Source organism: Homo sapiens, chromosome 15 (assembly GCF_000001405.40).
Source record: "Homo sapiens chromosome 15, GRCh38.p14 Primary Assembly".
Lineage (NCBI taxonomy): Eukaryota > Metazoa > Chordata > Mammalia > Primates > Hominidae > Homo > Homo sapiens.
Genome location: NC_000015.10, coordinates 101579149 through 101602365, shown reverse-complemented (window position 1 = coordinate 101602365; position 23217 = coordinate 101579149). Strand labels below are relative to the sequence as shown.

General features: G+C 38.7%; 1 annotated feature.

The window, feature by feature from the left end:
* Positions 21877 to 23076: an enhancer, noted in NCBI's record as "BRD4-independent group 4 enhancer chr15:102119493-102120692 (GRCh37/hg19 assembly coordinates)". NCBI's record gives its function as "activates an origin of replication core promoter dependent on BRD2, P300/CBP, MED14 and CDK7 cofactors, and independent of BRD4, by STARR-seq in HCT116 cells {active_cell/tissue: HCT116}" and the evidence as "EXISTENCE:reporter gene assay evidence [ECO:0000049][PMID:35650434]".

Here is a 23217-nt window from a genome sequence, read left to right as displayed (position 1 = left end):
GATTGATTGATTTTGAGATGGAGTTTTACTCTTGTTGCCCAGGCTGGAGTGCAATGGCATGATCTTGGCCCACTGCAGCCTCCGCCTCCTGGGTTCAAATGATTCTCCTGCCTCAGCCTCCCAAGTAGCTGAGATTATGGGCGTATGCCACCATGCCTGGCTAATTTTTTATATTTTTAGTAGAAATGGGGTTTTACCATGTTAGCCAGGCTGGTCTCGAACTCCTGACCTCAGGTGATCCACCTGCCTCAGCCTCCCAAAGTGCTTGGATTCCAGGCGTGAGGCACCATGCCTGGCCTAAAATTTGATTTTTTTTTATTGATAGTTTAGAAAACTTTTCAGCTTCATACCTTGTCATTAACAAAATGTCATGTAAAGTTTTGTATTATTTCAAATTTAGAGAAATCTTTATCCAGTTTCTGAGATATCTGAGCTGTGAGATTTCAGGACACTTGAGCAATGGCCAATCTGAAATATATGTTTTTTGTTTGTTTGTTTGTTTTTGTTTTTTGTTTTTTGTTTTTTGTTTTGAGACAGTCTCACTCTGTCACCCGGGCTGGAGTGCAGTGGCGTGATCTCAGCTCACTGCAACCTCCGCCTCCCGGGCTCAAGTGATTCTCCCGCCTCAGCCTCCCACGTAGCTGTGATTACAGATGCGCGCCACCATGCCCAGCTAATTTTTTGTATTTTAGTAGAGATGGGGTTTCACCATGTTGCCCAGGGTGGTCTCGAACTCCTGAGCTCAGGCAGTCGGCCTGCCTCAGCCTCCCAAAGTGCTGGGATTACAGGTGTGAGCCACCGCGCCCAGCCTGAAATAAACTTTGAACTGATAATATTTGTTATCCAATTAGTCATCAATATTTTCTTGCTACATTGCCCAGCAAGTCAACACAGTGGGCAGTAAGGAAATTTTGAAACATTTTTATACCAGATAACTTCCAATAATTTAACTATAGATGGAAATGAGTATGAATCACATAAACACATCTCATTAAACCCGAATTAAATGTATCCCCTGCTCCCTTCCCCTTAATGAATGCCCCAACTGTACATAGTCACTTCAAAAGTTACCCAACAAGAGGGGACATATGACAGAGAGGATATCAGAATGGCAACAAAAAGTAGTCACAACCAACTACAAATAAAATCCGTTATTCTTGTAGATTGTATAACGTGTAACCATGTGAACTAGGGATTCGGAAAGGCCCATGAAAGTGGGGGGTTCTGAAACATGATCAGCATCACTGTAATTCTACCTCTATCTCCAAAATAATAATGATAATAATAATATTTAATACAGCAATTTGTTCTGAGACTTGTGTAAGAATCAAACCACAAAGAGTTGATTTAGTACCCTGAAATTCTCAGTAAGTTGTCTTATGTTTTCATGGGTTTTATGTCATGGTGCTGTATCCTAACTCTAAAGTAAAATTTGGATAGTTTCTGCCCTGCAATTTCTCCTCAGAAGCAAAGCAATATAATGTGGTCGTGGAGATCTGCAATATATTTAAAGAGCAGCCTCTTTGTAGTGTGATAAATCAACTTAGGTACCCAATCCTGGGTAGATACAGGAAAATTCACACCTGAAAATCCAAATGGTCCAGGAAGATGGCATAGACATACTATCCCTACTCCTTTTGCTAAGTGCAATGAAAAACATGGGTTATTATTAATAAAAGCAGCATAAGAAGACTCCAAAAGATTGAGGGAAGAAGGCAATGGACCAGGGACCTCAGGACCCAGGGAATGACTATGATGAGTTCCCTGGGCTCTCCTTTTGTATCACATGTCTCAGACGTGGAGCTTGAAGAAGCAGGCAAACTGGAAACACCAATGGCTACAGACAACAACAACAACAAAAACAACAAAAGCCTTCTCTCTTTAATCAAAGGACCAGGAAAGGGGAAGCCTAGAAGGACAGAAAACGTTTAGTCCATGACTGCTGCTCCAGCCAAACTCTACAGAAAAACCTTGGCACCTTCCACCCATGCTGAATGGGTGAGCCTAGACTTCCACCCTCATCAGGCTGCAGAGCAAGGTGCTCCAGCTCCCGTGAGGCAGAGGTGTCAGAGACGGCTGTGCAGGAAGCTGGGGCTTTCATCTATGCTAAGCAGTTATGAGGCACCCCCTCCCACCTGCAGTGTCAGCAGAGGCCACGTGGAGAACAGTGGTGAAACACTCCTGCCCCTCCCAGCCAGGGCTAGTAGGCAGCTGGAATTCCCACCACTGCCCAGCAGTAACAAGGAGTCTTTTCCCTTCTCAGTGTCAATGGAGGCCAGAAGGGAATCTGCGCTTGACAATAACAAGGCAGTGACTTCTCTTCATTTGCAGTAGTGTCAGAGAAAGCCAGCTAAAACAGAAGGTTTAAATAAGATTCAAGCCCTCATAACATAATACTCAAAGTGTCTGGGTTCCAGGTGAAAATCACTTGTTATATGAAGAACCTGGAAAATCTCAACTTAAATGAAAAAAAAAGCAATAGACACTAACACTGAGATGACAGAGATGTTAGAATTATCCGACAAAGATTTTTCAAGCAGCCATGATAAAAATGCTTCAATGAGCAATTACAAACACATTTGAAATGAGTGAAAACTGAAAAAGTCTCAGTAAGAAATGGAAAATCTCAAGAAAGAAAAGACATGAAGAAAAAAATGGAAGAAAAAAAAGAACTTAAAAATAGGGCATTGGGAATAAAAAGCTCAGTGGATGGGGTCAACAGCAGAATGGAGGGTCCAGAAGAAGAAAACCGGTGAACCTGAAGACAGAACAATGGAAATTACCCAAATCCAAACCACAGGGACAAAGTCGACTGCAAAAAAGTAAGCATCGTTTCAGTGACCTGGAGGACTGTGTAATAGAAGATCTAACATTTGTGTTATCAGAATCCCAGAAAGAAAGGGAAAGGGGTGTAGCTTAATAAGCACTTGAAGAAATAACTGCTGAAAAAAAAAAAAAACCCAAACTTGGCAAAAGACAGAAACTTGGCAAAATACAGATTCAAAAAGCTGAGGGAGCTCCAAAACGAATAAATTAAAGGAAATCCATGCCAAGATGCATCATAATCAAACTTGTGAACACTAAAGACAAAGAAAAAAAGCTTGAAAGCAGCAAGAGAAAAACATCTTATCTATAGAGAAAAAAAACAATCTAAAAAAGAACACTTCTCATTAGAAACCATGGAGGCTAGCTAGAAGGAAGTGGCACAACATTTAACAAGTGCCGAAAGAAAAGAACTGCCAACGCTGTCATGCAAAGACCACCCAGGATGGCTATACATGGTAGAAAGGACAGCTTTATTGGCGATACCAATTTGTAAACTGGGAAGAGACAGTCTCTGGTGTGGACTGAAGGTGCTCTCTCTTTGAAGAGGAAAAGGGAAGGTTAGGTTTTATGTCTTACAGAGCCTGTATCACACAATAGAGTCAAACATATTCAGCAGATTTAGGGGAAAAGCCGTTCATATTAATGAGGGAAGTTGGGCACATGTGCAATAGGTAAACACATATGTAATATATATCCCATGTTCACTTTGGGGCAGGCTTTTAGCATTAAAATAGGGTGGAATTTGGCTCTTTACATCCAAAGGTGAAGTATAGGGAGCAAACACCATTTGTATGCAGTCTCTATAAGCTGCTGAAATGGGCTTAAGGTCTGCAGTTGCTTATCAGGAAATAATGTGTGTAAGGCCAGTCTTCTGTCCATTCAAAGTTGTAGTGGTCTGGATTGTAAATCAGAGTTAAGAAGGGCCTGAGAATTTGCCCCATAGCTCCTATTGTTAGGGAGTTTAGCAAGAGTGATTTTCTTGTGGTTGCATGAATTGAGAAAGTTCCCATGCCAGCTGAGCCTTTTACCCTCGACCTGAAGGTAACTCACCTTAACCTTGGGGTCCATCTTAGTTGATAAAGGGGCATCTATTTTGATCTCTTAGGCCCCAACCCAAAATTCTATATCTAGAGAAAATACCCTTAAGGAATTAGGGGGGAATCAAGTCATTATCAAATAAATGAGAACCGAGAAAATTTGTTGCCAGGAGACCTACCATAAGAGAGTGGCTAAAGGAAAATCTCAAACAAAGAAAGTGATAAAAGACGAAATCTTAGAACATCAGGAAAGAAGAAGGAACAATGGAATGAGTGGAGATCGAGGTTAAATATACTACATTTTTCTTCACATCTTGAGTTTTCTAAATTATGTTTGAGAGTTGAAATAAAAATTATAACATCATTGATGAAGTCTTAAATGTGCTATAGAAGAAATAGTTACTTATACTATAAGTGGTATAGGACAGAGAGATGTAAGGGAAGGTAAGATTAATATACTTCATTCAAATTGGCAAAATGTTGACATCAGTAGAATAATAAGTTATGTATATATAATTTAATACCGAAAACAACCACTTAAAAAACCATACAGATATTCACTAAAATAGAGGAAAAAAAAGATTCACTTAAAAACACTATAGGTAAATAAAAATATAAGTCTAAAAAATGTTTGCTTAACTCACTAGAAAGCAGGAAAATGAAAGCAGAGACACTGGGGATCTGGGAGGGAAAATGGCAGATAGGAGGCAGGACTAACTTGCAGCTCCCACTTGGATGGACACAGCAGTGTGTGGAGACCCACATCGTGAACTTTGACTCGAAGAACTACTGCAGGAACATTCCAGGAGAGCTGAGATAATCCACAGACCCTTTGAAGGAGATGGATTGCAGCCGAAGGCTCTGTGGGACAGCAGAGGAACTCCAAAGACAGAGGACATAATATATCTTGGGAGCTCTATGGCCCCACCCACCTCCTGATCCTCCCTGTACTGCTGTAGCTGATGCGATCTTGAAAGCACCGCCTCCTGGCAGGAGGCCAACCATCACAAAACCAGTGCACTTAATAAAAATACAAACAAGGACCCTCACAGAGTCTTCTTCACTCCTCTGCTACCTCCATCAGAGCAGGTGCTGGTATCCGTGACTGAGAGACCTGAAGATGGATCACATCACAGGACTCTGCAGACACTCCCCAGTACCAGACCAGAGCCCAGTAGCTCTTCCAGGTGGCTAGATTCAGAAGGAAATAACAAGCACTGCAGTTTGGCTCTCAGGAAGCCTCATTTCTAGGGAAAAGGGGAAAGCAGCACATTAAGGGAGCACCCCATGGGACAAACTAATCTGAACAGTGGCCCTTGAGTCCCAGATCTTCTCCCAATATAGTCCACCCAAATGAGAAGGAACCAGAAAAACAATTCTTATACTATGACAAAACAAGGTTCTTCAACACCCCCAAAAGATCACACTAGCTTACCAGCAATGGGTCCAAACCAACATGAAATCTCTGAATTGCCAGAAAAAGAATTTAGAAGGTCAACCATTAAGCCAATCAAGGTGGCACCAGAGAAAGATGAAGTCCAACTTAAAGAAATCAAAAAAAGATACTGAATATGAATGGAAAAATGTCCAGTGAAATAGCACAAATAAAAAACAATCACAACTCTGGAAATAAAGGACAAACTTAGAGAACTGCAAAATGCACTAGAAAGTCTCAACAAGGGAGCTGAACAAGTAGAAGAAAGAACTTCAGAGCCAGAGCACAAGGCTTTCAAATTAACCCAATCTGGCAAAGACAAAGACAAAAGAATTTAAAAAAATAATCAAGGGCTCCAAGAAGTTTGGCGTTATGTTAAATGACCAAACCTAAGAATAATTGGTGTTCCAGAGGAAGAAGGGAAATCTACAAGTTTGGAAAACATATTTGAGGGAATAGAGGAAAACTTCCCCAGCCTTGCTGGAGATCTAGACATCCAAATAGAAGAAGCTCAAAAAATGCCTGGGAAATTCATCACAAAAAGATCATCAGATTAAACCATCCTGCAACTCTTGATCATGGTGGATTATCTTTTCGATATGCTGTTGGATTCAGTTAACTAGTATTTTGTTGAGGATTTTTCCATCTATGTTCATCAGGGATATTGGTCTGTAGTTTTGTTGTTGTTGTTGTTATGTCTGGTCCTGATTTTGGTATTAGGGTGATACTGGCCTAGGCACATAGTCATCAGGTTCTCTAAAGTCAAGATAAAGGAAAACAATCTTAAGAGCTGTGAGGCAAAAGCATCAGGTAATCTATAAAGGAAAATCTATCAGATTTCTCAGCAAAAACCCTACAAACTAGAAGGGATTGGGGTCCTATCTTTAGCCTCCTTAAACAAAAAAATTATCAGCCAAGAATTTTGTATCTGATGTAACTAAGCTTTGTAAATGAAGAAAAGATACAGTCTTTTTCAGACAAACAAATGCTGAGAGAATTCACCACTACCAAGCCTGCACTACAAGAACTGCTAAAAGGAGCTCTAAATCTTGAAACAAATCCTCAAAATACACCAAAATAGAATCTCCTTAAAGCATAAATCTCACAGGACCTATAAAACAATGACACAATGAAAAAAAAAAAAACAAGGTATTCAGGCAACAAATAGCATGATGAATAGAATAGTACCTTATATTTTAATACCCTCAAAATCATGCAAATACATGGAAATTAAACAACCTGCTCCTGAATGATCATTGGGTCAACAATGATATCAAGATGGAAATTTAAAAGCTCTTTGAACTGAGTGATAATAGTGACACAACCTATCAAAACATTTGGGATACAGCAAAGGCAGTGCTAAGACGAAAGTTCATAGCATTAAATGCCTACATCAAAAAGCATGAAAGAGCACGAATAAACAATCTAAGGTCACACTTCGAGGAGCAAGAGAAACAAGAACAAACCAAACCCAAACCCAGCAGAAGAAAATAAATAATCAAGATCAGAGCAGAACTAAATGAAATTGAAACAAACAACACAATAAAAAAAATGAAACAAAAATCTGGTTCTTTGAAAAGATAAATAAAATTGATAGACCATTAGTGATATTAACCAAGAAAAGAAGAGAGAAGAGGACTTATATTCCAAATAAGCCCAATTAGAAATATAAGGGGAGATATTACAACTGACCCCACAGAAATGCAAAAGATCATTCAAGGCTACTATAAACATCTTTATGTGTGTAAACTAGAAAACCTAGAGAAGATGAGTAAATTCCTGGAAATATACAACCCTCCTAGATTAAACCAGGAAGAAACAGAAGCTCTGAACAGACAAATAACAAGCAGTGAGATTGAAATGGTGATTAAAAAGTTGCCAAAAAAAAAAGTCCAGGACCAGACAGATTCACGGTTGAATTCTATCAATCAGATATTCAAAGAATTGGTACCAATTCTATTGAGAGTATACCAAAGATAGAGAAAGAGGGAATCCTCCAAAAACATTCTATGAAGCCAATATCACACTAATACCAAAATCAGGAAAAGACATAACAAAAAAAAATAACTACAGACAAATACCCCTGATGAACATAGATGCAAAAATCCTCAACAAAATTCTAGTTAACTGAATCCAACAGCATATGAAAAAGAGTCCACCATGACAAAGTGGGTTTTACAGGAGGGATACAGGGATGGTTTAATATCCACAAGTCAGTAAATGTAATACACCACATAAACAGAATTAAAAATAATAAGCACATAGTCACTCAAGAGACACAGAAAAAGCATTTGACAAAATCCAGCATCCCTTTTGGTTAAAACCCTCAGCAAAATCGGCATAGAAGGGATATACCCTAAGGTAATAAAAGCCATCTATGACAAACCCACAGCCAACATTATACTGAAGGGGGAAATTTGAAAGCATTCCCCATGAGAAGTGGAACAAGACGAGGATGCCCACTTTCACCACTTCTATTCAACATAGTACTGGAAATCCTAGCCAGAGCAATCAGACAAGAGAAAGAAATAAAGGGCATCCAAATCAGTAAAGAGGAAGTCAAACTGTCACTATTTGCTGATGACATAATTGTATACCTAGAAAACCCTAAAGACTCATCCAAAAAGCTCCTAGAAGTGGTAAATGAATTCAGCAAAGTTTCAGGATACAAAATTAAGGTGCACAAATCAGTAGCCCTGCTATACACCAACAGCAACCAAGCTGAGAGTCAAATTAAGAACTCAACCCCTTTTACAGTAGCTGCAAAACAAAACAAAACAAAACAAAACTTGGGACTATACTTAACCAAGGAAGTGAAAGACCTCTACAGGGAAAACTACAAAACACTGCTGAAAGAAATCATGGAAGACATAAACAAATGAAAACACATTCTATGCTCATGGGTGGGTAGAATCAATATTGTGAAAATAACCATACTGCAAAAAGCAACCTATAAATTCAATGCAATTCCTATCAAAATACCACCATCATTCTTCACAGAACTAGAAAAAAAAAATCCTAAAATTCATATGGAACCAAAAAAAAAAAAGAGCCTGCATAGCCAAAGCAAGACTTAGCAAAAAGAATAAATCTGGAGGCATCACACTACTTGACTTCAAACTATACTATAAGGCCATAGTCACCAAAATGGCATGGTACTGGTATAAAAACAGGCATATAGATCAGTGGAACTGAATAGAGCACACAGAAATAAAGCCAAATACTTACAGTTATCTAATTTTTGAGAAAGCAAACAAAAACATAAAGTGGGGAAAGAACACCTCATTCAACAAATGGTGCTGGGATAATTGGCAAGCCACATGTAAAAGAATGCAACTGGATCCACATCTCTCACCTTATACAAAAATCAACTCAAGATGGGTCAAAGACTTAGATCTAAGACCTGAAACCATAAAAATTCTAGAAGATCACACCAGAAAAACCCTTCTAGACATTGGCTTAGGCAAAGAGTTCATGACCAAGAACCCAAAAGCAAACACAACAAAAACAAAGATAAATAGATGGGACTTAATTAAACTAAAAAGCTTCTGCACAGTGAAAGAAATAATCAGCAGAGTAAACAGACAACACGCAGAGTGGGAGAAAGTCTTCACAATCCATACATTTGACAAAGGACTAATATCCAGAATCTATAAGGAACTCAAACAAATCAGCAAGAAAAAAACCAACAGTCCCATCGAAAAGTGGGTTAAGGACATGAACAGACAATTTTCAAAAGAAGATATACGAATGGCCAACAAACATATGAAAAAATGCTCAACATGACTAATTATCAGGGAAATGCAAATCAAAACCGCAATGTCATCCTTACTCCTGCAAGAATGGCCATAATCAAAAATCATAAAGTGATAGATGTTGGTGTGGATGTGGTGAAAAGGGGACATTTTTACACTGTTGGTCAGAACATAAACTAGTACAACCACTGTGGAAAACAGCGTGGCAATTCCTTAAGAACCAACGTAGATCTACTGTTTGATCCAGCAATCCCACTCCTGGGTATCTACCCAGAGGAAAAGAAGTCATTATACGAAAAAGACACTTGCACACGTATGTTTATAGCAGCACAATTTGTAATTGCAAAAATCTGGAATCAGCCCAAATGTCCATCAGTCAACAGGTGGATAAAGAAGATGTGGTATGTATATGCCATAGAATACCACTCAGCCATAGACATGCTCAGCATTTGCAGCAACCTGGATGGAAGGGCAGGCCATTATTCTGAGTGAAGTAACTCAGGAATGGAAAACCAAATATTGTATGTTCTCACTCACAAGTGGGAGCTAAGCTATGGGGACACAAAGACATAAGAATGATACAGTGGAATTTGGGGATTTGGGGGAAAGAGTGGGAGGGGCTGAGGGGTAAAAGACTACACATTGGGTACAGTGTACACTGCTCAGGTGATGGGTGCACCAAAATCTCAGAAATCACAGATCACCCCTAAAGAACTTATTCATGGCCTGGCGTGGTGGTTCACGCCTATAATCGCAGCACTTTGGGAGGCCGAGGAGGGCAGATCACGAGGTCAGGAGGTCGAGACCATCCTGGCTAACACGGTGAAACCCCGTCTCTACTAAAAATACAAAACATTAGCCGGGCGTGGTGGCGGGCGCCTGTAGTCCCAGCTACTCGGGAGGCTGAGGCAGGAGAATCGCTTGAACCCGGGAGGCGGAGCTTGCAGTGAGCCGAGATCACGCCACTGCACTCCAGCCTGGGGACAGAGCAAGACTTTGTCTCAAAAAAAAAAAAAAAAAACAAAACTTATTCATGTAATCATACACTATCTGTTCCCCCAAAGCCTTTTGAAATAAAAGAAAACAGAGAAAGTAAAACAGAAGTAACAGGAAATGAAAAATAAAAACCCCAACATATCAATACTTAGGTCAAATGTAGATGATGTGATGATTGATTAGGAAACAAATTGGCAGAATGTATGAGAAAACATGACTCAATAACATGTTCTCAAAAAGAAATTCACTTCAAATTAATGATACAGGTAGGTTGAAAGTAAAAGAGTGGAAAAAGATATTGCATGCAATATCAACAAAAGACACCAGGCGTGGCTATGTTGATAGCAAAGAAAGTAGACTTTAGAGAAAATAAAATTACCAAAGACAGACAGGGAAATTACAGTTATAAAAGGGTTAATCCAACAAGAAGACATGGCAATCCTAAATGTGCATGTACCAAACAAAAGAGCTGCAAAAATATGTGAAATAAAAACTGATAGAACTAAGGGAGAAACACACACACCCACAATTATATTTGGAGATTTCAATACCCCTTTCTCAACAATTGATAGAACAACTAGAGAAAAAATTAGCAAAGACATGGAAGAACTCAACAACACCATCAACTGACAGGATCTCTAACATTTGCAGAACGCTCTACCCAGCAACAGCATAATACATATCGTTCTAGTGCCCACAGAACATATAGCCACATAGATCATATTCTGGCCTATTAAAATAAAAACTTAGTAAATAAAAGATTGAAATAATACAGGGTGTTTTTTTCAAGCACAGTGGAATCAAACTAGAAATCAATAACGGAAAGATAGTGTGAAAATGTCTAAATACTCAGAAATTGAACAACATACTTTCAAATAATCCTTGGATCAAAGAGGAAGCTACCAGGGAAAATTTAAACAAAACCCAAAAACAATGAACTGAATGAAATGAAAATACGACATATTAAAATTTGTGGGATGCAGCTAAATAACTAGCAGGCAAATATATAAACACAAAATGCTTCCTTTAGAAATGAGGAAATGTCTTAAAATAATCTAAGCTCTCACTTCAAAAGCTAGAAAAAAAAAGCAAAATAAAGCCAAAGCATGTAAAAGTAAGGAAATAATAAAGATAAGAGCAGAAATAAATAAACGTGAGGACAGAAAAATACAGAGAAAAATCGAATAAACCAAAAGTTGGTTCTTTGAAAAAAACAATAAATAGATTTTTTTCAAATAAACAACTGAATAATCAATAAAATTAATCCAAAAAGATGAAATAAAGATCAATAAAATTGGCACATCTCTAACAAGACTAACAAGGGAAGAGACAAATTACCAATATCAATCAATACCAATCTATAGAAAATCAATCAATACCAATCAAAGAGTAGATATCAGTACAGACTGCAGATATCAAAATAAAAATAAAAGAATATTACAAACAATCCTACACACACAAACTTGACAACTAAGATGAAATAGACCAATTCTTTGAAATGTACCAGCTATAGCGATTCACCCAATATTAATTAGATAATTTGAATAGCTCTGTAACTATTAAGAAACTGACTTTTAAAAAAAAATTAATCGACAAGTTTTTAGAGCAGGTTTATGTTCATAGCAAAATTGAGTAGCAAGTACAGAGAGTTCGTATATTTACTGTCTCATAACACATCCACAGCCTCCTCTGCTGTGACCGTCTCCTCCCCTTACCCATCAAAATAGTAGGTTTGTTACAATCAATGAACCTACACTGAGACATCATTATTACTAAAAGTCCATATTTCATATTAAAATTCACTGTTGGTATTCTACATGTATGGATCTTGACAAATGTGTAATGACATATATGCACCGTTCCGTTACCATAGAAAACAGTTTTACTGCTCTAAAAATTTTGTACTCCACCTATTCAATATATATATTTTTTGGCCCCCTGGTAACAACTCTCTCCATTGTTCTGCCTTTTCCAGAATGCTATGCAGTTGAAATCATACAGTGTGTAGCCCTTTCAGACTGGCTTCTTTCAGTTGGTAATATGCATCATTTTGTCTCTTCCATGTCTTTTCATGGCTTAATAGCTCACTTCTTTTTAATGCTGCGTTAATATTACATTGTGTAGATGTACCACAGTTTATCCATTCACCTACCGAAGGACATCTGTTTCCAAATTTTGGCAAGTATGAATAAAGCTGGTATAAACATCTGTGGGCAGGTTTTTGTATAGACAAAATGTTTAATTCATTTGGGTAAATACTAGAGAGCATGATTGTGGGATTGTATAGTAAGACTATGTTTAGCTTTGTAAGAAACTGCCATATTGTCTTCCGAATTTGTGCCTTTTTGTATTTCCACCAGCAATGAGTGAGAGTTCCCATTGCTCCATATCCTTGCCAGTATTTGCTGTTGTCAGTATTTTGGATTCTGGCCAAATTACTGATTACTGGTACCCCATTATTGTTTGAATTTGCAATTCCCTAATGACATATGATGTTGAGCATGTTTTCATACGCGTATTTGTTGTTTGTATACCATCTTTGGTGAGGTGTCTGTTCAGAGTTTTTGCCCACTTTTTGAATGAGTTGTTTGTTCTCTTATTGTTGAATTTTAATTTTTTTTGTTTGTGTGTTTATTTTGGATGCATGTCATTTATCAGCTTTCACTGTCTGTGGCTTGTATTTTTATGTTCTTCACAGTGCCATTTGCAGAACACAAGTTTCAAATTTTAAAGAAATCAATTTTATAAATCTTTTCTTTCATGGATTGTGCTTTTGGTGTTATATCTAAAAAGTCACTGCCAAACCCAGTCACCTAGATTTTCTACTATGTTTATTCTAAAAATTATATAGTTTTGCTCGTCCATTTTGAGTTAGCTTTTGTTTAAGCTAAAACAGCGTGTTAGACAGAGTGTAAGATCTCTGTCTAGATTCATTTTGTGTGTGTCCCCAGTTTTTTCCAGCATAATTTGTTGAAAAGATTGCCCTTTCTCCATTGAATTACCTTTGATCCTCTTTGCCAAAGATCAGTTGAATGTATTTCCAACTATTTCCGTTGAATTTATTTCTGAGTTATATATTTTGTTTTATTCATCTGCTTGCCTATTATTTTATCCATATCATACCATCTTGACTGCTGTACTTTTTTAGTAAATTTTGAAGTTGGATAGTGTCAATTCTCTGACTTTTTTTTTTCTTCAATATTGTGTTGCCTATTCCACATCTTTTGCCTTTCCCTATAACCTTTATTATTTATTTATTTTTGAGATGGAGGTTAACTCTTTTTGCCCAGGCTGGAGTGCAATGGCGTGATCTTGGCTCACTGCAGCCTCCGCCTCCTGGGTTCTAGCAATTCTCCTGCCTCAGCCTCCTGAGTAGCTGGGATTAGAGGCACTCACCACCATGCCTGGCTAATTTTTTTGTATTTTTGGTAGAGACGGGGTTTCACTATGTTGGCCAGGCTGGTCTAAAACTCCTGACCTCAGGTGATCCACCCACCTCAGCCTCCCAAAGTGCTGGGATTACAGGCATGAACCACCGCTCCTGGCCTCCAAATAAACTTCAGGATCAGTTTTGTCTATTTCTGCAAAATAACTTGCTGGGATTTTCATTGGGATTGCATTAAATCTATAGATAAAGTTTAGTTAGGAAGAACTAGCATCTTAACAATATCAAGTCTTTCTATCCATGGACATGGAATATCTCTCCATTTATTTACTATTCTTTGATTTCTTTCATCAAAACTTTGTAGTTTTTCTCATATAGATATTATTCATATTATGTTAAATTTATACCTAAGAATTTCATTTTTGGTGCTAATATAAATGGTGAGTTTTTAATCTCAAATTCCAATTATTCTTTGATGAAATGTAGGACAATACTTTTTTGAATTTTGTATATTAACTTTGTATCTTGCTGTAATCATTTATTAGTTCCAGGAATATTGTGGTTGTGATTATTCTTGGAAGTCTTCTATATAAACAATCATATCATCTGTGAACAAAGAGAGTTTTATTTCTTCCTTTCCCAATCAGTTTATCTTCATTCTGTTTTTAAAGTCTTATTGCATGCATTACTTAGGACTTCCAGTGCAATGGTAAATAGCAGTTGTAAAAAAAAGACATCCTTGTCTTTTTCTAATCATAGAAGAAAAGCATCTAGTTTCTCACCATTAAGTATGATATTAGCTGTAGTCTTTTTGAATATGTTCCTTATCAAGTTGGGGAAGTTCATCTCTCTCTATTCCTCCTCATTTGTGAGTTTTGTTTTGTTTTGTTTTTGTTGTTTTACAGAGTCTCACTCTGTCACCTAGGCTGGAGTGCAGTGGTGCAATCTCAGCTCACTGCAACCTCCACCTACCAGGTTCAAGCAGTTCTCCTCTCTCAGCCTCCCAAGTAGCTGGGACTACAGTCACATGCCACCACACCTGGCTTATTTTTGTATTTTTAGTAGAGATGGGGTTTTATCATATTGGTCAGGCTGGTCTTGAACTCCTGACTTCAGGTGATCCACCCGCCTCAGCCTCCCAAAGTGCTAGGATTACAGGTGTAAGCCACCACACCAGGCCTGCTGAGCATTTTTAATTGTGTTGTAATATATGTACTTTTTTCTACATTGTTGGATTCTATTTGCTAATATTTTTTGAGGATTTTGCATCTATGTTCATGTAAGATATTGATCTGTAGTTTTTCTTTCTTGTGATGTCTTTTGTTGTTTTGGTTATGATGATAATGTTGTCCACATAGAATGAGTAGGAAGTATTCCTTCTCCCTCTATTTTAGGGAAGAGATTATAGAAATCTTTTCTTCCTCAAATATTTGGCAGAACTCATCTATTAAACCACCTGGACCTGGTACTTTCAGTTTTGAAAAGTCATTAGTTACTAATTCCATTTTTTAAGCAGATATAGGCCTATTTAGACTTTTCTCCTTGTGAGAGTTTTTTTGTTTGGTTGGTTTTTCGTGTTTTTGTTGTTTGTTTGTTTGTTTGTTTGTTTGTTTTGAGATGGAGTCTCACTCTGTTGCCAAGGCTGGAGTGCAATGGCACAATCTTGATCTCAGCTCACTGCAACCTCCACCTCCCAGGTTCAAGAGATTCTTGTGCCTCAGCCTCCCGAGTAGCTGGGATTACAGGTGCACACCACCACGCCTGGCTAATTTTTGTATTTTTAGTAAAGATGGAGTTTCACCATGTTGGCCAGGCTGGTCTTGAACTCCTGACCTCAGTGGATCCGCCCACCTCACCCTCCCTAATTGCTGGGATTACAGAAGTGAACCACCGTGCCTGGCTGCGTGAGTTTTGATAGATTATATCTTTCATGTACTTGGTCCATTCTATCTAAGTTAAATAGAGTTGTTCATAATATTCCTTTATTATCCTTTTAGTGTCCATGGGCTCTGTAGTGATGATCCCTCTTTCATTTCTGATATTATTCATTCCTATTATTCATTGCTGATGTGTTTTTTGTGGTTACCCTGGTTAGAGTCTTATCAATTTTATTGATCTTGAAAAAAATCAGCTTTGATTTTGTCGATTTTCTCTATTTTTTCCTGTTTGCAATTTCACTAATTTCTGCTCTAATTATTATTTCTTTTATTATTTTTACTTTAAATTTAATTTGCTCTTCTTTTACTAATTCCCCATGGTAAAAGTTTAGATTATTGATTTTAGATCTTTCTTTTTTCTGATAATGCATTTAATACCATAAATTTCCCCCAAGAACTACTTTTGCTTCATCCTGTGAATTTTGATAAGTTGTGTTTTTATTTTCATTTAGTCCAAAATATTTTAATATTTCTCTTCAGGCTTGTTTGGCCCATGTATTATTTATAATTTGTTTAATCACCAAATATTTTGGGATTTTCTCCAATCTTTCTGGTGAGAATCTGGTATGTCTCCTAGAAGTAAAACTCATGAGAATGTGGGGCCCACTAAGCCAGGTTCTAGGAGTTTAGCTCTCAAGCTGGTCTACAGTCAATCTTAGTCAGCTACCCTTTAAGTGTTCTTAGAAGGTTCTGGCGGGGAAAGGAAGGTGATTTCAGCTATAAATTTCAATACCCATCTGTCACTGTAATTTTCAAAGTGGCAGTTTGTCCTGTGGCTTCAATTCCCTGATGGATCTAAGAAGAATTGTTGATTTTCAGGTTGTTTGGTGTTTTCATTGGTTTGTTTGCTGTGGAGATGGGAATAACAACTTTCAAGCTCTTTAGATGTTGCACTGGTAACCAAAAGTCAGGAAATTGAATTTTTAAATTAAAAATTCCCAAGAAAGAAATCTCCAGACACACATGGTTTCACTGAAGATTGTTTTCCAAACATTTAAATAATATTTAAAACCAATTCTATATGATCTCTTTCCAAATATAGAAAAGGAAGGAACACATCTCCACTGATTCATAAAGCTGCTATTACCCTAATACCAAAGCCAGACAGACAATTAAAAAAAGGGAAAACTAAAGATTAACATCCCGCTTTAATATAGATACAAAAATTCTTAACAAACTCTTAGCAAATAGAATTTATCAATATAGAAAAAAAATCTAAATCATGAGCAAGTTGGACTTACTCCAAGGATGCTAGGTTGGTTCAATATTCAAAAGTTATTTAATGTAATCCACCATATTAACAGGCTGAAGAAAAAAAATCACATAATCGTATCAACTGGTACAGAAAAAGCATTTGACAAAAATCAACACCTTTTCATGATTAAAAAAAAAACTTACAGAAAACTAAGAATAGAAGGAACTTTCTCTATTGGAGAAAGACCATGTACCAAAAAAAACCCCTTACAGCTAAAATTATACTTAATGCTTAGTTGAATAATAATAATAACACTGAATAGTTCCCCTCTAAGTTTGGGAATAAGGTGAAAATATCCACTCTTACTTTTATTCAACATAGTAGGGAAGTCCTAGCCATTACAATAAGGTAATAAAAGGAAATAAAATGTATACAAATCAAAAAGGAGCTAAAAATGTTCCTATTTGCATATATGATTGTCTATACAGAAAATCCCAAGAAATATACAAAAAAAATAGAACTAATAAGTGCATTTATCAAGGACATAGAAAGATGAACAACATACAAAAATCAATTTTATTTCTTTATACTATTAATACATGTGGATGCTGAAACTTAAAATACAGTGCTATTTATGATCACTAAAAAAAAGACAAAGAAATAGGCATAAATGTCATAAAATGCTTACAGGACTTGTATGCTAAAAACTACAAAATACTCATGATAGAATTCAGAGAAGCTCTAATTAAATCAAGGGACATACTAAGTTCATGGATTGGAAGACTCAATGTAGTAAAGATGCCTATGCTCTCCAAATTATTTATTGGCTAAATGTAATTTCTATCAAAATCTCAGCAAGGTTTTTGAAAAAATAAATATATACATAGATATAAATATTCTAAAATTTATAAGGAAAGGCGAAGGAACTAGAAGAGTTGAAACAATTTTAAGGATGAATGAATTGGAGGAATTGGTCTACTCAACTTTAAAACATACAGTAACAAAACTCTACGGTATTGATGGAGAGATACACACATAGTTTGATGGAATCAAATAGAGAAATCCAGAAATAGACCAACACAAATATGCCCAACTGATTTTGGATAAAGATGCAAAAGAATTCAATAGAGGGCTGGGCTCAGTGGCCCATGGCTATAATCTCAGCAACTTGGGAGGCTGAGGCTGGAGGACTGCTTGAGCCCAGGAGTTTGAGGCTGCAGTGAGCTATGACAGAGTGAGAACCTGTCTCTAAAAAAAAATTCAATGGAGGGAGGATAGCCTTTTTGATAAATGGTGCTGGATAAAGTAGGCACCCATTAAAAAAACATGGAATCTTGAGTTAGACCTCTCATTTATACAAGAAAATAAGTTGGAATGAATGATAGTTATAAATGTAGAACTAAAACTTTTAGAAAAAATATCATAGGAAAACATCTTGGGGATGCAAAACTTTTTTTTTTTTTTTTGAGGCAAAGTCTCACTCTGTCACCCAGGCTGGAGTGTGGTGGTATGATCATGGCTTGCTGCAGCCTCAATCAAGCAATCCTCCTGCCTCAACCTTCTGAACAGTCAGGACTGCAGGCTCTATCTACCATGCCTGGCTCAGGATATAGAGTCTGGCAAAGAGTTCTTCAACTTAACATCAAAGACACGAACCATAAAGGAAAAATTGATAAATTAAACTTAATAAAAAGATAAAACCTAAATGTGGCACATATACACCATGGAATACTATGCAGCCATAAAAAAGAAAGAGTTAATATCCTTTGCAGGGACATGGATGATGCTGGAAACCATCATCCTCAGCAAACTAATACATGAACAGGAAACCAAACACCACATGTTCTCACTCATAAGTGGGAGTTGAACAATTAGAACACCTGGACACAGGGAGGGCAAGATCACACACTGGGGCCCGTTGGGGGTCGGGGACAAGGGGAGGGAGAGCACTAGGACAAATACCTAGTGCACATGGGGCTTAAAACCTAGATGACGGGTTGATAGGTGCAGCAAATCACCATGACACATGTATACCTATGTAACAAACCTGCACGTTCAGCACATGTATCCCAGAACTTAAAGAAAAAAAAAAAAGATAAAACCTTTTGCCTTACAAAAGGCCCTGTTAAGAGTTGAAAAGCTGCTACAGGCCAGGAGAAAATATTGCTAACCACATAAGTGACAAGGGACTAGTATTTATTATATACAAAGAACTTCTGAAGCTCAACAGTTAAAAAAAAAAAAAAGAAAGAGAAATAAAAAAGAAAAAAAGCCCTAATTAGAAAATGGGCAAAAGACATGAACAGACATTTCACCAAAGAAGATATACAGGTGGCAAATAAGCATATAAAAAGATGTTCAACATCATTAGCCATCAGGGAAATGCAAATTGAAACCAAAATGAGGTATCATTGCACACCTATCAGAATGGCTAAAATAAAAGAGACAATGCCAAATGTTGCTAGGGATGCAGGGAAACTGGATTACTTATACATAGATGGTGAAAGTATAAACTGGTATAGTCACTCTGGAAAACAGTTTGTCAGTTTCTTAAGAAAATAAGTGTGCAACTACCGTACAACCCAGCAACTGTGTTTCTGGGTATTTATCCTGGAGAAATCAAGACTTATGTTTACACAATAATTTGTACATGAATGTTCATACCTTCATTATTCATAACAGCCTCAACTGGAAACTACCCAGGTGTTCTTCAGTGAGTGAATGGTTAGACAAATTGTGGTACAGTCATACTATGCAATACTACTCAGAAATAAAAAGGAGTGAACTGCTGATACATGTAAAAACTAGGATGAATATCCAGGATGAATATTATGCTGACTGAAAAAAACCCAAAAGGTTACCTACTGTATGAGTCTATCTATGTAACAGCCTTGAAATGATAAAATTATGGGAATGGAGAACATATAATGAATTAGCAATTGCCAGGGTTTAAGGACTGAGTGTGGCGGGGGTGGGGGCTGGAGGGAAGTATATGTGGCTGTAAAAGTAAAACATGGAGGACTCCTGTGCAGATGGAAATGTTCTGTATCTTGACTTTATCAATATCAATTTCCTGGTTGTGATATTGTACTATAGTTTTGCAAGATGCTACCACTGGGGGAAACTGGGTAAAGCGTTCATTGTATCTTTCTATATTATTTCTTACAGCTGCAGAAGAACCTATGATTAGCTCAAAATAAAAAGTTTAATTTTTAAAAAAAGCAAAAGAAATGCAAAATTATGTAGTTGTGCTAAATAGTGTTAGACACAAGGCCATGGTGACTGCCACAAGAATTATCCCTAACATGTCTGGATGGAAGTGGAGATGTGAGCCCAAGGCATGTATCAGTTACATGGTGAATGCTCCAAACAGGTGTGGAAAGCCTTCTAAAGTGGAATTCCAAGTAAGTAGGATGGGCACTGGTGTGACGTCTTATCCCAGTTCTGTCTCAAGTCAGAGAAGCAACCATGAGTATAGCTGTTGGTACCTCTGAGCAGCAAGTAACAGAATATAACACTATCTCATATGATGCAAGTACTATTATCTAACCTATCAGGAAGCAGAGAGGTGGGCAGTTTCACAGTGGATCCTTCGTTCTAAGTTGGCTTTTTTGGGATTCTCTGGTCTGATAGTTGCAGCAGCTTGAAGCAGCACTGCCTGACGCCATGCACACAAAGCTGGAGAAAAGGAGACAGCAAAAATGGAACATTTTCCCCCTTGCCCCTCTCTAATCAGGGTAAAAAATGAATCCATAATTTCCTAGAAGACTTATCCTTGTGTTTCATTGGCCAGAACTGGTCACATGCTCACCTCTACCCTTACCCCTCAACTCACTGGTGGAGGGACTCATAATTCACTCCTCGTTCCTGAGCACATTGTCGTCAGACACTATTCTCTTAGCAAGAAACGATAGAGAAGAGGTGTTAGCTGGACATGAAACAGGCCTGCTATAGTGGAAAGTTGGCCACTGCCCTGTGGAATGTTCTGAGCCTTCCATGTGAAGAGTCTGTCCTGTCTTCCCTCTGCTCTGTTGGAGAGGCTCTCCATGGGTGTGTGTGTGTGTGTGTGTGTGTGTGTGTGCGCGCGCGCGCGCGCATGCACTCACGCACGCATTTCTGGGTCTTGTGGGCAACTTTTACCATGGCCCCTGTTCCATCCAACCAGAGGAGAAGGTTACATCTAAAGAGAATGGGAGCTCTGCCTATAAGCGGTCTCTGGTGACCTGTGAAAGTGGTTTACTGTTCACTTGACGCAGAAAACCCCCACAAAATCATGCACATCAAGAGTTTTAAATCTTTGTGTTCACTTTAAGAACACTCCTAGACCATGACAGGTGTGTGTATCTGGAAAGCCACCAAGTGTCTGAAAGGTGTATCTTAACCGAAGCAATGTGTGTCATTCTGTCTTATGATGGTGGAGTTGAGAGGTGTGCCCAGGCCAACAGTAGGGCTGGATGCAGGGTCAGTGGCTCCAAAAGAGTGTGGAATTTTTGCCACAGTTGCTTAAAAATGCAGAGAGTAATGCTGAACTTAAGGGTTTAGATATAAATTCTCTGGTCAATGAACATCTCTAGGTGAACAAAGTACCCAAGATATTAGATACCAAGGATCCAAAAGAGTATGGAATTTTTGCCACACCTGCTTAAAAATGCAGAGAGTAATGCTGAACTTAAGGGTTTAGATGTAAATTCTCTGGTCAACGAACATGTCTAGGTGAACAAAGTACCCAAGATATTGGCACCACCATATTTACAGAACTCACGGTGGGATTAACCCATACATGAACTCCCATGAGGTGATCCTTGCTGAAGAAAAAAAGAAAATTTGTTCCCAAGCCAGAAAAGGAGGTTGCACAGAAGAAAATGTATCCCAGAAGAATCTGAAGAAACAAACATTTACGGCGTGGGAAGAAGTTCAGCATAAAATAGATGCAAATAAAAGACTTAAAAGGGAAGAAAAAGAATGGCACATCCTTGACCAGAATCGGACTCAGATATTTGCCCCTCCACCTACATCTCTAAGCCAGAGAAACAGAAGTTCTCAGGCCGTATCAGAACTTTTCTGTAGCAATAACAGTCCTGCTGAGGTGGCCCGAGGAGCTGAAACAGACGAGCTTTGACGAGTTTAGCAGAAATAAGGAAGAGATGAGCTGATTGTTGGCAAGTGCACCTCTTCTCTCTGTCTGAAGCGAGATCTTTGAGACATTCTTCATCCATTCCCCGGGGACCTAGGAAATGAGCAGAGTCCCCCTCTATGTGTGTGCTTTCATAGAAGTGCCCGTTACACTTCTCCCGCAATTTACGGGACCACATCTGGTTGGCTATCTTGGTCAGCTTTAGGATATTGGCTCGAAAAAGGGTCATAAATTTTATTTTCAATTTTGTTTCTGTGGCTTTTATACTTTAATATGCCCTTGCAGACGTGCCGAGTGTGATGTTCCGGTTAAGGAGAGAAATGGCTGCTAGAGAGGAGTGCTCCACCTGGGAAAGGGTTTTTGGTCTCAGAAAGAATCCCTCTCTCCTTTGCGGGGGTCAGGCCAAGTTGGGGCTCAAGTTAGTGAGTGCGTGGTGTGGCCTTGCCGGTATGTCTTTTGTCTGGCCAGCTGTCTTTAGGAGGCTAACCCTCCTTCCTTTTAGTTGGCACTGACCCCACCTCTGGTGACAGAGTTTGAGACGTGACTCAGATCCAGCCAGTCAGATAATTTGACCCTCCTTGGGATGGGGAGAGACCATCGAAGCTGGGCCAGTCATTGCCTTCATTGGAGCTGCTGGGCAACAGGCTGCCCACCCCCTGGGTCCAGCTATGCCTGAAGCGCTGTGCTTTCCTGGAAGTCCCCATGACTCAAAGCAATAAGTCCCCCACCTGCCCCTAAACTTATAAGCTATTGTGAGTTGGAATTCCATCACTTGGAAATGAGTCATGAGTGACAAATGAGTCTTGAATACAAATCTGGGGTGTATGTTCGGAGTTCCCCGGGACAGCAGCACTGGCCCCCGACTCCCAGTTCTTCCTCCACAGAGGGGTGTTTGAACAGTGTTGGAAGAGGCTTAGCCATTCCATTCAGCCCACACCTGCCACGACAATCCCAGGACAGTCCTTCTGGCCCAGCCTCCGTTTTCTCTCCTATAAAATGAGTTGCTCAACCTTGAGACCTGTGAGAATTAAGTGGGAAACCAGAAATAACTCAAAACAGCAACGTCTGACAATCCCTTTTCTCTGATTCCGAAGGTCAAAGAGCTCTGAAAGGAAGGTTTTTCCTAGCTTTTTTTGATGGCCAAAACCTGACCCCATCTAAATGAACTGCCATGCAGCTGTCTGTGAAAGTCAGTTCCCTTCCCCACTTTGTGTTTCCTTATATTCTTTGATTTCCTTCCCCCAGAGCACTTCCAGCCGCGCCATTCAGCAAACGGAACTGAGCCTCCTGCTCTGTGCAGGGAAGTGAGTCCATCCCTATCTCCTGCCTTCAAGGAGGTTAAAACCATGATCAAGAAGTGGGGAGGGGGGCAGGGGGTCAGCTGCTGGCTCCCCACGCACAGCCCCTTTGTGGGCTCTTTGTCTTTCTCTCTCTCTCTGTCTCTCTCTATCACTGCGTGTGTGTGTCTCTCTCTCCCCCCTGGCACAGTCACACAGACCCTCTACACAAGGGGACAC